This window comes from Homo sapiens, chromosome 1, assembly GCF_000001405.40.
Source record: "Homo sapiens chromosome 1, GRCh38.p14 Primary Assembly".
Lineage (NCBI taxonomy): Eukaryota > Metazoa > Chordata > Mammalia > Primates > Hominidae > Homo > Homo sapiens.
The window spans coordinates 4,703,396-4,715,716 of record NC_000001.11 but is presented as its reverse complement, the minus strand read 5'-3'; the positions used below and the strand labels follow the sequence as shown (position 1 = coordinate 4,715,716).

Here is a 12,321-nt window from a genome sequence, read left to right as displayed (position 1 = left end):
ACCGTTTAGGAAAAATATTTCTTTTTTTTTTTGAAATAAGTTTCACTCTTATTGCCCAGGCTGGAGTGCAATGGCAGGATCTTGGCTCACCGCAACCTCCACCTCCCAGGTTCAAGTGATTCTCCTGCCTCAACCTCCGTAGTAGCTAGGATTACAGGCATGTGCCACCATACCAGGTTAATTTTTTGTATTTTTAGTAGAGACAGGGTTTCTCCATGTTGGTCAGGCTGGCCTCGAACTCCTGACCTCAGGTGATCCATCCGCCTCAGCCTCCCAATGTCGGGATTATAGGCGTGAGCCACTGCACACGGCCTATTTCTAAGCCTCAATTTTGCTGGTGAAGAAAAGAAAATCAGGAGAGGAGAGACCTTTTCCAGGGTCACACAGTGACATGCAACAGAGCCCAGATTCTCTCCCAGATCTTCAGCCTCAAGGCACCTGCTAACTAACTGCAGCAATTCATGGCCTCCCAGATTGCAGCTCTGGAGTCCCCAAGACCACTTCTGCTGCCTTAGATGTCTGAGAAGTGTGAGTAGTGTTCACGTTCCACCAAATGTTGGGGGCGCAGGTCTGCATCTGATGACTGCCAAGCAAGGGGGTTCCAGGGAGTTCAGCCCTCTGTCCCAGCACTCCTTCCATCTGGGGAAGCTTAAACAGTTGTTTTCCTCCCCCTGCCCCATCCCCCTCTACTTGGGACTTCAGATAAGGAGATTATGCAGCCTGTTCTCAGTAGCCTAAGCAAAGATCTCACCTCCTGCATCACCAGCAAGTACTTCCCAGTGTGTAACCTAAATTGTTCCTGCTCTGGTCTAATTCATTTACATGGTACCCACTGGGCTATGAGGAACCCAGTTAGGGGAATCATCCCCGCATTTCCTCTCTTCCCTTTGCCTTGGCTGGGAAGCTCAGGATGGTGGCCTAGCCCTGATGAGCGCTGCTGTAAACCACCTGTTCCCTTCCCTGTGGCCCAGCATTGCGTTCCAGAATTAACATTTCTCTGCATTAGAAACAAACACACATATTTTCCTCTTTTTAGATTTGTTTTGCTAAACAAATTAATCTAGCACCAGATTATATTATGAAGAACCATAAATCGCTTCCAAGATAAGCATCTGTCGAGATGGATTAGCAACATCCAATGCACTGTGAATTAATTTGCTAAGCCTACAACGCTGTCCCGGGTGTTTAACTTTAGTAATAACAAATGTAATTTGGAATAAATGGGAACTTGTTTCCTCATCCATGTCTATATAGTAAGTGACGTATACAGAGGAGGTGACAGTAAGGGAGAGTAGCAAGAAATCCTACTATGATGATGGCTGCTGAGTTTACTGAGGTAAAAATGAACACTCTGTAAACTGCTAGCAGGCGCCTGACAGTGCAGGATGAGCTGCAGACCCCGCATGTCCGTGGATTCCCAAAAGAGGCTGCATGGGAGGAAGCCGATGCAGGACCTCCAGAGTCTCTTCCTCCGGAGCCTCTTCCTCCAGAGCCTCTCCCAAGCCCACAGCCTCCATCTCTGGGCATGGCCCTCAGCATGCGCAGGGAGCCCAGGCTGTGCTTCCATAGAGACATTGCTCTCTAGGGAAGAGGAGCTCAGAAAAAAAACCGCAGGTTCTCTTGTCCAGGTGAAGGAAGAAAGTAGGTCACCGGCTGAAGGACAAAAGCCACCCACCCCATGAAAACCTGTCCAAGGACTGCCCGGTGCCTGCCTGCCCAAGATGAGGAGGAACCAGGGCCAGGACGCAGTCTAGTGAGGACGCAGAGGGCCTGGATGCCATGCCGGCCGCCTGCACATGAGCTCTGAAGAGCAGTTCTCTTCCCTCCCCTTGATTCTGCAGAGGCCTGGGTGGGGCCTACCGAGCCCACAAGCTGGAGGTTGTGGAAAGCAAGCTGTGAGGAGGCCACAGGGCGCCCCCGCCCACTTTGTACTGACGCCCTAAAATCTGCATCCGATTTTAAAGTTAGCAAATGTTGCTGTTTGTCTAGAATGTGTATGCACAGATCTAGGTTGTGAACTTCTGAGCCAACCTGGCACATCGGGCTGTGCCTGTTAACAGAGGCAGAGAAAACTGGAGGGAGGTGAGGGTGACGGGGTGCCCAGGGCTCTGCGCTCTCCCCGCAGGCCTGCTGTGAAGCCTGGTGACATCAGTGCAGGCTACCAGTTCAGGGACAAGCCCTGGCTTGGGAGATTTCCAAGGGCTACTCCTTTCAAAGCAAATGGAGGACAGCGTATAGGAGGAAAATAAAAAACAACAAAACTGCACAGAAGGAGATATTCCAAAGCCAGTGAACTGTGTGTGTCCACAGGCAGCTAGGATAACAGCAGCAGAAGAACCAAAGCCCTTTGTTCTGATCTCCGTCCTCCAAACACCCTCCTGACACATCCCCAGGGAGCCGAAAGGTGCCACCTGAATCACTGTCTGCGAAGGTTCTGTTAACACCGCAGGAAGTTCTTCCTTTTACCCAGCCTCGGCCTTTCTTGCTATTTAAGGCCATTCCTAATCCTCTACCGAGGTCAAGTTGGCAGGCACCCTGCCCCCGTCCATGCCCCCGTCCATGGGTCCCATACCCTTGAAGGCTTTTGAAGACTCTGGGGCGGGGGGATCCTTAATTGTATCACGAGACGGGCAAGCATCTTGCTCAAGGGCCGGCCCCAGAGACAAAATTCTCTGATTCTGGAAGGCGTGGCTGTGTGTGGTGGATTCCACCGGTCTGTAACAGGGCTGCAGCACCTGGTGGATTCAGCTGGTCCCTAACAGAGGCACAAGGGGTGCAGCGCCCACTTCTAGGTACATACTAAAAAGGGAAACTCTCCCTTCTCACGCCCCCTTCCTCTAAGGCACAGCCTGTATTTGCCAGTCTACAGGCATGTGCAAGCTCATGGACACATCACGCCTGCATCTCCTGGAGCCTCCACACATAGCATCACCCAGGGACATCTAAGCATCTCTCCCGAGTCACGCTCCCAGCCCTCAACCCCAAGCAAACCCAAACCAGAAGAGAGATGGCTGTACCTGAGGCCTCCCCCAGAATCCTTGGGGGCTGGGTGACTTCCCCGTTGTTGCTGGGACTGGTGGAAGGCTCCGTTGTGCTAACCCCACCTGGGATCCTTCTCCGGGGATCCAAGGACTCGGTGAACCCCTTAGTCTGCAGCGTCATGGGGGTGGCCGTGGTGGTGGTGGTGGTGGTGGCGGCCACAGTTGTCTTCCGTGTTTGTAGGATGGAGACCGTGGTGGGGCCGTAAACGCCCGGAAATGTGTTGGACTCCAGGGCCTCCTCGTCCCCCGTGGGCCCCCAGGCGATGAACTCAGTCTCTGTGGTGGGCCGGCTGCCTCTGGAGTCGAAGCTGCTGAGACCGTCCCCCTGCAGGTGCCTCTTGCCCCTCCTCAGGAGGGCCTGCTGCTCCGGGGCCCCACCGGCCACCGCGGAGGACGAGGACGAGGACGAAGAGGCGAGGGAAGGGCTGGATTTGGCAGCAGCTGGGGGCTTGGCCAGTCCTGCCTTGGGCACGAGGGCGGCCGCCTGGTCCCGGGGCCTGTGGGCCCGTCTGGCTCGAGGCATCTGCATCTGCCCGTGGATCCGCTCCACTCGGGGCGGCCGGGGGCTCCACACCGGGGCCGGGACCCGCGCTGGCTGTCCACTCCTAAAACTCCACAGCCGGGGCGGCCGGGGCGGCGACCGCGGCAGGAGCCAGAACTCCGGCCCCGGGCCCAGGGCCTCACAGGCGGGCAGGTCCACGGCGAGCTGAAACATGGCTATCAGTATCCAGGCATGGCTTCCGAGGGGGCGGCCCGGCCAGCGGATGGACATGGAGCTGTGCGGGGGGGAAAGGAGAGAAGAGCGGTCAGTGGAAGCCCAGGAGGGGGACTGGGCCCCGGGGCCCTCTCTCTCCACCCCGCGCTGTGACAAGGACGCTCTCTTCTTCTGGAAAGAGCTCCTCCTAACTTCAAAAGGGAATCCGAAACCCTTCCTTCCTTTCCTTCAAAGGCTCACTCACGTGCAAGAACAGCGCGCGCTGCGAGGGTGCGGGGAGCTGCTTCCCGGCACCGCGGGGCTGAGGCGCCTGCCAGGCACAGAGCCGGCCGGTCGCCGAATAGTCCATTTCACGCGAGCGAAAACCGAGCCTCAGAAACCCCCAGCCTTTCAGGGCAGCCTCGACAAGATAACCTGAAAAGACCTGTGAGTCCCTCCTTCCTTTTGCCCATCACACGACGAGAGGACGTAAGTGAGAGGATGGCAGCAGCGGACACCGGCCTCCACCTGGGACCCCAGGGCCAGGCGCTTTCCTCTACATAGCCCAGGCCACCCCCCGCCCACTGGGGAAGCGCCTCTCCCCAGGTCTAGGAGGAGCGGAGGTTTCAAGCTTGAAACCTCGCAGCGTGAGCGCAGGCGCTTCCCAGCACCTACACCTGCCAGGCACTTGCACTTTGCAAACACCAGCCGCTCCCGCTGCCCCTCACCCAGAGCCCGGCATGCATATCGTAAACAGGCATCGCTTTAAATGCTCTGCATGGGAAGGCTTCTTACTTCTGGCCTCCTCTGGATCGTACTCAGGGAAATGAGATCTGCTCCGGATAAACCTAAAGTTTATTGACGCGAAGTGTCTGTTCTGTTGACATTTCCGCTCCCCCTGTTTATCTGCAGTGCCGGTGCCCTTTGAAACCCTGTTATCCACCTCCTCAGCTCCCCGGAGGGCTGCAGAAAGGGCAAATCCTGCGCAACCCTGAGGAGGGCGGGGCTGCCTCTCCACGCAGCGGGGCTGCAGGGGAGAAGTCAGGGCTGGCGGGGCGGCCCCTCCCCAGTTCACATGGAGCGGCTTTGTCACCAGGTCTGGGGTCGCCTCTGGACCAGTGGACTCTCTGGTGTCACATGAAAACCAGGGCGCGGCAGAGAGCCACGTGGAAGGGCTCAGAGGAGCCAGGCCCACGCTCCCTCTTCCACCAGCACAGATAATTGAAGACTGATTATAGGTGTCATTCAAAGTCAGTTCTCGTCACCAGCCTCACGTCTGAAAGTTAAAATGAATCCCAAAACTGTAATGACTGAAGCGGGTGGGGGGCGCGAGGGTGTTCAGGTGCCAAGCGCCAGCCTGACGCCGCCCAAAGCCAGGCCTGGAAAGCAGGTTGGGTAGAGTTTTTCTTTATAAGGCGGTGAGTGACTTCACAAAGGAAGGAAGCTGTGTGTGTCATTGTAATGCGTGCACGCAAGTGTGTGAGTGTGTGCGTGTAGGCAAGCACACGTATGTGAGTGTGTACGTGTGTGACTGGGTGTGAGTGTGTGCGTGTGGGTCAAGCTGTGTGAGTGTGCCAGTGTGAGAGTGAGCCAGCATACATGAGTGTAAAGATGCATCTGGGGGTGTGTCCACGAGTGTGAGAGACTGTGCGTGAGTGAGGGCCAGGGTGTCTGTGTGTATTTGGTGCGTGTGTGAGAGTGTACTGTTGTGTGACTGTGTCCATGTGTGTCAGCATAGAAGTGTGTGAGTGCATCTATGCTCGTGTGTGTCAGTGTGTATGAGTGTATCTGTGCGTTCCTGTGTGAGTGTGTCTGTGTGAGAGTATCTGTGTGTGTATTTGTGTGTGCAACTGTATCTGTGTGTCCCTGTGTGAGCATGCGAGTGTATCTGTGAGTGTCTGTGTGAGAGACTCTATGTGTGAGTGTGTCTGTGTGTGTCTGTGTAGGAGAGTTTAGTTGTAGCTGTGTGTGAACGCATCCCTGGGGGCACGCCCTCTGTTCAGTACTGAGACCCTTGTGTCTGGTGCTGACTCTCCCAGATATCTGGGGAACAGATGGCCCCCCAGTCATCAGGATGGTGAGAGAGAAACTCTTGCTAATGAGTGCTAATTACCAAAAAGGACTAATCCCCAAACAATAAGGCTTCAGTTTTTCAATCAGAATAGAAGTGCTTTGCTGCAGAAATGAGGACCTCCACATTATGCTAATCCTCAGCACGGTGTTTCTGCTGGTGTGCAATTTCTCTGCACTAGCAGCCAAGCTCGGGGCAGGGACCAGGGCCACTGTCACCACAAGGACGAATTTAGGTTAGGGTGAAATTCCCCCATATACACACTAAGGTAGCTCCTCTGTGGCTGCAGGTGACCCAGTGAGGATGGGAGCTGGTTTAGAATCTCTAATTCTCCCATGACCTGCAGAGCTGGGTGGGAGTCTAGCCCCAGGAAGATGAGATGCTGCTCTGAGCAGGTGCAGGGTCTCACCAGGCCCCACCAAGCCCCTTCAGGCTCCACCAGGCCTCACCAGACTCTGCCATGGTCTTCCAGGCCTCACCAGACCTCACCAGGCCTCACCAGGCCCCACCACACTCCACCAAGCTCACCAGGCCTTACCAGACTGCACCAGACTCCAACAGTCCCCACTATACTCCACCAGGCCCTGATTAGACCCCACCAGGCTTCACCAGGCCCCACTACACTCCACCAGGCCCCACCGGCCCCCATCAGGCCCCACCGGCCCCCACCAGGCCCCACCAGCCCCCACCAGCCCCCACCAGGCAGGCTGAATCAAAAGCCATGACAAGCAAACCTGCCTGCCATCAGTACTTAGAGAAATATTGCCCCAGGAAATTAAAACCATAGCACCTAAGCCCGTGCCTGCCTCGCTGGCATAACTTCACACACAGGATATTTCTGTGATTTTTCACCAATCATGGCTGTAATTGGTTACTATAGAAACCCCCTCATTTCTAAGACACCCAGCTGTTATGCAGAAAAACCAACCAATTGCAACAGTGGCAGGGAGAGGTCGATTTGTTTTTCCTCTTCAAGTCTGGTTTCTTCCTTTTTAAAGTGATTGATTTGTTCAGAGAGGAAAAAAAAGAGGGCAGGTGGGCAACCAGGACAGAGGCCCCAGCCCACTCCCAGCAGCCAAGAAATGTGGGGGGCAGGGGGAAAGCCCCTCCCATAGGAAGACGTGTAGGGGCCACTGCTCATTTCTGTGCAAGGCCAAGGGCCCCAGGCTCTGCATTGCCACCAAGACGGCTGAGCTTGGTGTGCTGCCCGGACCTGGTCCTGAGACTCTTGGGGACCCCTTGGTGAGAGGCTGCATCTCTGCAGCAGGAGGACTTGGCTCTATCTCCAAGGACCAGTGAGCAGTACAAACAATCTCTGTCCTCATCCCTTGGGCGGCTCTGAGATGAGGCAGAGCCTGGGAATACTCTTCTCACTGATCCTGCTCAGCCTGGGGCTTGGCCCTGAGCACCTCTCATTTCATGATGAACAGATTTCGGGAGGGCCTCACCCCATAGGGCATCCATGGCACTGTCAGACATGCACCAAGATGGCAGGCGACCCCACACCTCCTCTGGAGGCAGGCCCTGTGGCATGGCTGCCGACCACAGCACCAACCATCAGGAGGCGAGGCTGTGGGGCAGGCAGAAGTGGCACCAGCTCCCCTGAAACTCAAGCATCCACAGGCCCCTTAAGAACATACCGCCCGGCCAGACATGGTGGCTCACGCCTGTAATCCCAGCACTTTGGGAGGCCGAGGTGGGAGGATCACGAGGTCAAGGGATCGAGACCATCCTGCACAACATGGTGAAACCCTGTCTCTACTAAAAATACAAAAATTAGCCAGGTGTGGTGGCGTACACCTGTAGTCCCAGCTACTCGGGAGGCTGAGGCAGGAGAATCGCTTGAACCCAGGAGGCGGAGGTTGCAGTGAGCCGAGATCATGCCACTGCACTCCAGGCTGGAGATGGAGTGAGACTGCGTCTCAAAAAAAAAAAACAAAAAAAAAACGTACCGCCCACATCACACCCACAGAGAGAGCTACAAGCAGAAAGACAGAGAACATGAAGTGCTGGCGAGGACACGAGGAGATGAGAGACCTAGTATGCTGTTGGTGGGAATGAAAACCAGAATGCCTCTGGGCAAAACAGTTTGGCAATTCCTTGGAACCCTAAAGACAGAGTTCCAGGGACCCTGCTGCCCCTCTCTTAGGCACAGACATCTGTCCACATGAAAACCTGCACTGGGAGGCCCAGGGCCACACTCACAACTCACAACAGTCAAAGCTGACTCAGCTCACGTGCCCGTCAGCTGAGGAATGGATAAAGGGGATCTGGCATAATGTTACAATGGAGTATCGTTCAGCCTTTAAAAGGAAGGCAGGATTACTTGATCTATGCTACAATGTGGAAGCACCTTGAAAACCCTGAGCAGGGAAAGAAGCCAGGCACTCAAGGCTACACGGTGCCCGGTTCCGTTTATAGGAAATGCACAGAGTGACCAAATCCACAGAGACAGAAAGATGAGCAATTGCCCAAGGCTTGGGGAAGGGGTAATGGGGTAGGGGGTTTCTTTATGGGGTGACGAAATATTCTGGAATTGTGTGTGGGGGTAGCTGCACAACTCTATGCCTATACAAAACCCACTAAACTGTACATTTGTAATAGGTGAGTTTTGTGCAATGTATATCCCAATACAAATCAAAAGGAACATGCTAGAGAATGGGGTGTGTGCAAGGGTTGTGGGGACAATGTGGAGTGCATGGCGTGGCACCCTAATCCTGGCCCTGGCGGATGGGTGGAAGGCAGAGCGGCCCCCAGAGCTGCAGGCACATGGGCAGGAGGAAGCCATGGAGACTTTGGGTTCATCCACCCAGTCCTCACTGGGACACCCTGAACGTGAGACAGGGTCCCTGCCTGAGCACCTGAGGACCACATCCACACCCTTTGAGAAGAGGCAGGGACAGCTCCCTCTCAGCAGCCTCGAGCCCATGATTTTCAAAGAAAGAATAAACTCCTTGCCACCACCCCCTGCTCCCCAGCTGCTTCCAAATGGGGAACAACTGCTCCGTCTCACTTTATTTTCTAGTTTGTGGCTTTCTTGCTTCTCTTCCTTTTAAATTTTTATTGAAATCTTTTTTCCCGAAGAACAGTTTAATAAGATTTGGTGAATTGAGATTCAATTCACTACCTTCTGTATATTTTCTTCACAGAAGAAAATCACTGTCAATTAAGGGGCCAAAGACATCTCTTCCACTTAAAGTTGCACCTTTCCCCGAGCCGGGAGTGTGCGGCGTGAGCCTCCTGGGAGCAGCTGGTGTCTGCCTTGTGGGAGCACTGGTGCAGTGAGAAGCAGGCCAGGCCCTGGAATTGTTCCACCGGGGAACAGCCCAGAATCTTCAGGGTGGGACAGGACCTTGGAGCTGTGCCTGTGGCCAATCCACCCCAGCCGTTCCACGAAGACACCCACTTCCCGTGACTCCTCCAGGTCCTGTCGTTTACTGGCTCTGGGGCCCAGGAGAAGGATGCTGCATTTGATGGGGAAGTTAGCTTGGCATGGGCTTGTAGCTTCCCACTCTGCAAGCCCCAGTTTTTCTGTCATTCATACCAGTAAGTTGGGGCAGGTGGGCTCTGAGGTCTCCGCCTCCTCGTTGAAGAAGACCCGTGCTTCTACGATCAATAGTTCACAGGGCACCGCTAGAAACAATCTCCAGGAAGCAGAAAGAATAGACACAGACATATTTGTTCTATGACACAGCAGTGCCGTTGGCTTTTTGTGAGTCCATGCTCTTTTGTGGAAGGCCCCACCCAGGAAGTGGACCTCCCTTCCCCGAGGACCCAGGGTCTACCCCTCGGTCCCCAATGACCCGTGTCCAGATGCTTCCTGACTTCCACCCTACTTCTATTGGTTTGCTTCAAAAAAGCTTTTTATTTTAGAATAGTTTAAGACATTCCAAAAAATTCCAAAAGAGCCCAGAGAGTTGCTGGGAACTCATCTCCAGTTTCCCCTCAAGGGATACCGTAGGTCACCATGCCACAGCGTCATGGTGCATAACCAGGAACTACACACGTGGCTTGGACTTCTCCAGTTTGCACTTAGCTTAGCGTCCGTTTTCAGTCCCAGGAACCCATCCAGAATACCACGTGGCATCAAATGGTTGTGTCTCGTTTGGCTCCTCTTGGCTGTGATGGTTTCTCAGGCTTTCTCTGTGGCTGATGACCTTGATGTTCTAAGGAGGACTGGTCAGGGATTGCATAGAATGCTCCTCTTCATTGATTGATTGGTCTGAAGTGTGTCCCGTGATGAGACCGGCCTTCTGTGTTTTGGGGGATGCCCACAGAGAGGAAGTATCTGCCTCATACAGGGTACCCAGGGCACCTGCTCTCAACAGGACCCCTCCCTGCTGAAGCTGACCTTGAATAGCATTTGCCAGGGACGTTTGCCCAGTGCTGTCACTGGGAAGGCAGTCCTGCTCCTTTCCAGAATCTTTGGAAGCAGGTCACTAAGCACAATGCACATTCTTGGAGGGGGAGGAGTACTCATTAAAAAAAAAAAAAAAAAAAAAAAAAAAAAAAAAAGCTCTTCAAAACTTCCCCATTTGGCTTTTGTTGCCATTGCTTTTGGTGTTTTAGACATGAAGTCCTTGCCCATGCCTATGTCCTGAATGGTAATGCCTAGGTTTTCTTATAGGGTTTTTACGGTTTTAGGTCTAACGTTTAAGTCTTTAATCCATCTTGAATTAATTTTTGTATAAGGTGTAAGGAAGGGATCCAGTTTCAGCTTTCTACATATGGCTAGCAAATGGGATCTACTTAAACTAAAGAGCTTCTGCACAGCAAAAGAAACTACCATCAGAGTGAACAGGCAACCTACAAAATGGGAGAAAATTTTCGCAACCTACTTATCTGACAAAGGGCTAATATCCAGAATCTACAATGAACTCAAACAAATTTACAAGAAAAAAACAAACAACCCCATCAAAAAGTGGGTGAAGGACATGAACAGACACTTCTCAAAAGAAGACATCTATGCAGCCAAAAAACACATGAACAAATGCTCACCATCATTGGCCATCAGAGAAATGCAAATCAAAACCACAATGAGATACCATCTCACACCAGTTAGAATGGCGATCATTAAAAAGTCAGGAAACAACAGGTGCTGGAGAGGATGTGGAGAAATAGGAACACTTTTACACTGTTGGTGGGACTGTAAACTAGTTTAACCATCGTGGAAGTCAGTGTGGTGATTCCTCAGGGATCTAGAACTAGAAATACCATTTGACCCAGCCATCCCATGACTGGGTATATACCCAAAGGACTATAAATCATGCTGCTATAAAGACACATGCACACGTATGTTTATTGTGGCACTATTCACAATAGCAAAGACTTGGAACTAACCCAAATGTCCAACAATGATAGACCAGATTAAGAAAATGTGGCACATATACACCATGGAATACTATGCAGCCATAAAAAATGATGAGTTCATGTCCTTTGTAAGGACATGGATGAAATTGGAAATCATCATTCTCAGTAACTATCGCAAGGACAAAAAACCAAACACCGCATGTTCTCACTCATAGGTGGGAATTGAACAATGAGAACACATGGACACAGGAAGGGGAACATCACACTCTGGGCACCGTTGTGGGGTGGGGGGAGGGGGGAAGGATAGCATTTGGAGATATACCTAATGCTAAATGATGAGTTAATGGGTGCAGCACACCAGCATGGCACATGTATACATATGTAACTAACCTGCACATTGTGCACATGTACCCTAAAACTTAAAGTATAAAAAAAAAAAAAAACTTCCCCGTTTGGCAGCTGGAACAGACAGGAGGGAGCAGGACTGGCTAGTGTAAGGGGGTAATTATCCACAATACAGTGGATGGGGAACAGGGCACTATTTTTCCTTTGCTTAACCCCTACCTTCAATGTTCCAAACATTTCTGGGCTTTGGAAACATACAGGGCGTTGTGGGGAGAAGCAGGGTAGAGGGCCCTAGGCTGCCCGGGCTCCATCCGGAGGGCAGACAGCCTGCACTGCCAGGCATTCCTAGCCCAGGGAGCTCGGGGAGGCAGTGGGGAGCCTTCTTGGAGATTTGTTCTCAGGGACATTCAGATGTATCTTCTCCTGGAATGTGGCAGCATATTCTGCTCTTTGCAAAGACAAGAGATCAAAGGGCGTGGGCTCAGGGTCCCCCGGAGCTGGTGGCAAGCCCTCTGTGACTGGGGTTCTGTGTTGGCCATACCCAACCCCTGATCTTTGGATAGGATAAAACTTCAAGTACCTTGGGCCTCTTTCTCAGCATCCTAACCTCCCGCTCGCTGATAAGATGTGAGTTCCACCAGGAAGAGAAATTTGATGTTAGGTGGGATGCGAGATTTCAGCTCAGATGTGAAAATGGCCTCGTTATCCCTAAACTCTCCTCTAATTCCAAGTTCCCTGGTGGTTCTGCCCTTGAGAGAAAGGGAAAGTGTCTCCCAAAGCAGATAGACTTCCATCCCTTTCCCCTTCACAGAAGAACCTCTGACTCCCCCAACTCAAGAGCAGGCTCGCTCTGTGTCCCC

At 52.8% G+C, this 12,321-nt stretch overlaps 1 protein-coding gene across 3 annotated transcripts in view, besides 5 other annotated features; it reads right to left on the bottom strand.

Annotated features, from left to right (window-relative positions):
* The window catches only part of AJAP1 (adherens junctions associated protein 1), a 137,926-nt gene that overhangs the window by 76,818 nt on the left and 48,787 nt on the right, over positions 1 to 12,321 (bottom strand). For all 3 annotated transcript variants that reach the window (XM_011541786.3, NM_018836.4, NM_001042478.2), the window contains exon 2: positions 3,018 to 3,817. In XM_011541786.3, coding sequence (XP_011540088.1) covers positions 3,018 to 3,817 — 800 coding nt within the window. The remainder of the gene's footprint in view (positions 1 to 3,017; positions 3,818 to 12,321) is intronic.
* Positions 4,110 to 4,726: an enhancer, noted in NCBI's record as "H3K4me1 hESC enhancer chr1:4771051-4771667 (GRCh37/hg19 assembly coordinates)". NCBI's record gives its function as "activates a minimal SCP1, AML or CMV promoter by ChIP-STARR-seq in naive and primed H9 embryonic stem cells {active_cell/tissue: H9 hESC(naive and primed)}" and the evidence as "EXISTENCE:reporter gene assay evidence [ECO:0000049][PMID:30033119]".
* Positions 4,727 to 5,345: an enhancer, noted in NCBI's record as "H3K4me1 hESC enhancer chr1:4770432-4771050 (GRCh37/hg19 assembly coordinates)". NCBI's record gives its function as "activates a minimal SCP1, AML or CMV promoter by ChIP-STARR-seq in naive and primed H9 embryonic stem cells {active_cell/tissue: H9 hESC(naive and primed)}" and the evidence as "EXISTENCE:reporter gene assay evidence [ECO:0000049][PMID:30033119]".
* Positions 5,796 to 6,708: an enhancer, noted in NCBI's record as "H3K4me1 hESC enhancer chr1:4769069-4769981 (GRCh37/hg19 assembly coordinates)". NCBI's record gives its function as "activates a minimal SCP1, AML or CMV promoter by ChIP-STARR-seq in primed H9 embryonic stem cells {active_cell/tissue: H9 hESC(primed)}" and the evidence as "EXISTENCE:reporter gene assay evidence [ECO:0000049][PMID:30033119]".
* Positions 9,570 to 9,764: a silencer, noted in NCBI's record as "fragment chr1:4766013-4766207 (GRCh37/hg19 assembly coordinates)". NCBI's record gives its function as "represses an EF-1alpha promoter that drives an FKBP-Casp9 reporter gene in an ReSE screen in K562 erythroleukemia cells {active_cell/tissue: K562}" and the evidence as "EXISTENCE:reporter gene assay evidence [ECO:0000049][PMID:32094911]".
* Positions 11,806 to 12,317: an enhancer, noted in NCBI's record as "H3K4me1 hESC enhancer chr1:4763460-4763971 (GRCh37/hg19 assembly coordinates)". NCBI's record gives its function as "activates a minimal SCP1, AML or CMV promoter by ChIP-STARR-seq in primed H9 embryonic stem cells {active_cell/tissue: H9 hESC(primed)}" and the evidence as "EXISTENCE:reporter gene assay evidence [ECO:0000049][PMID:30033119]".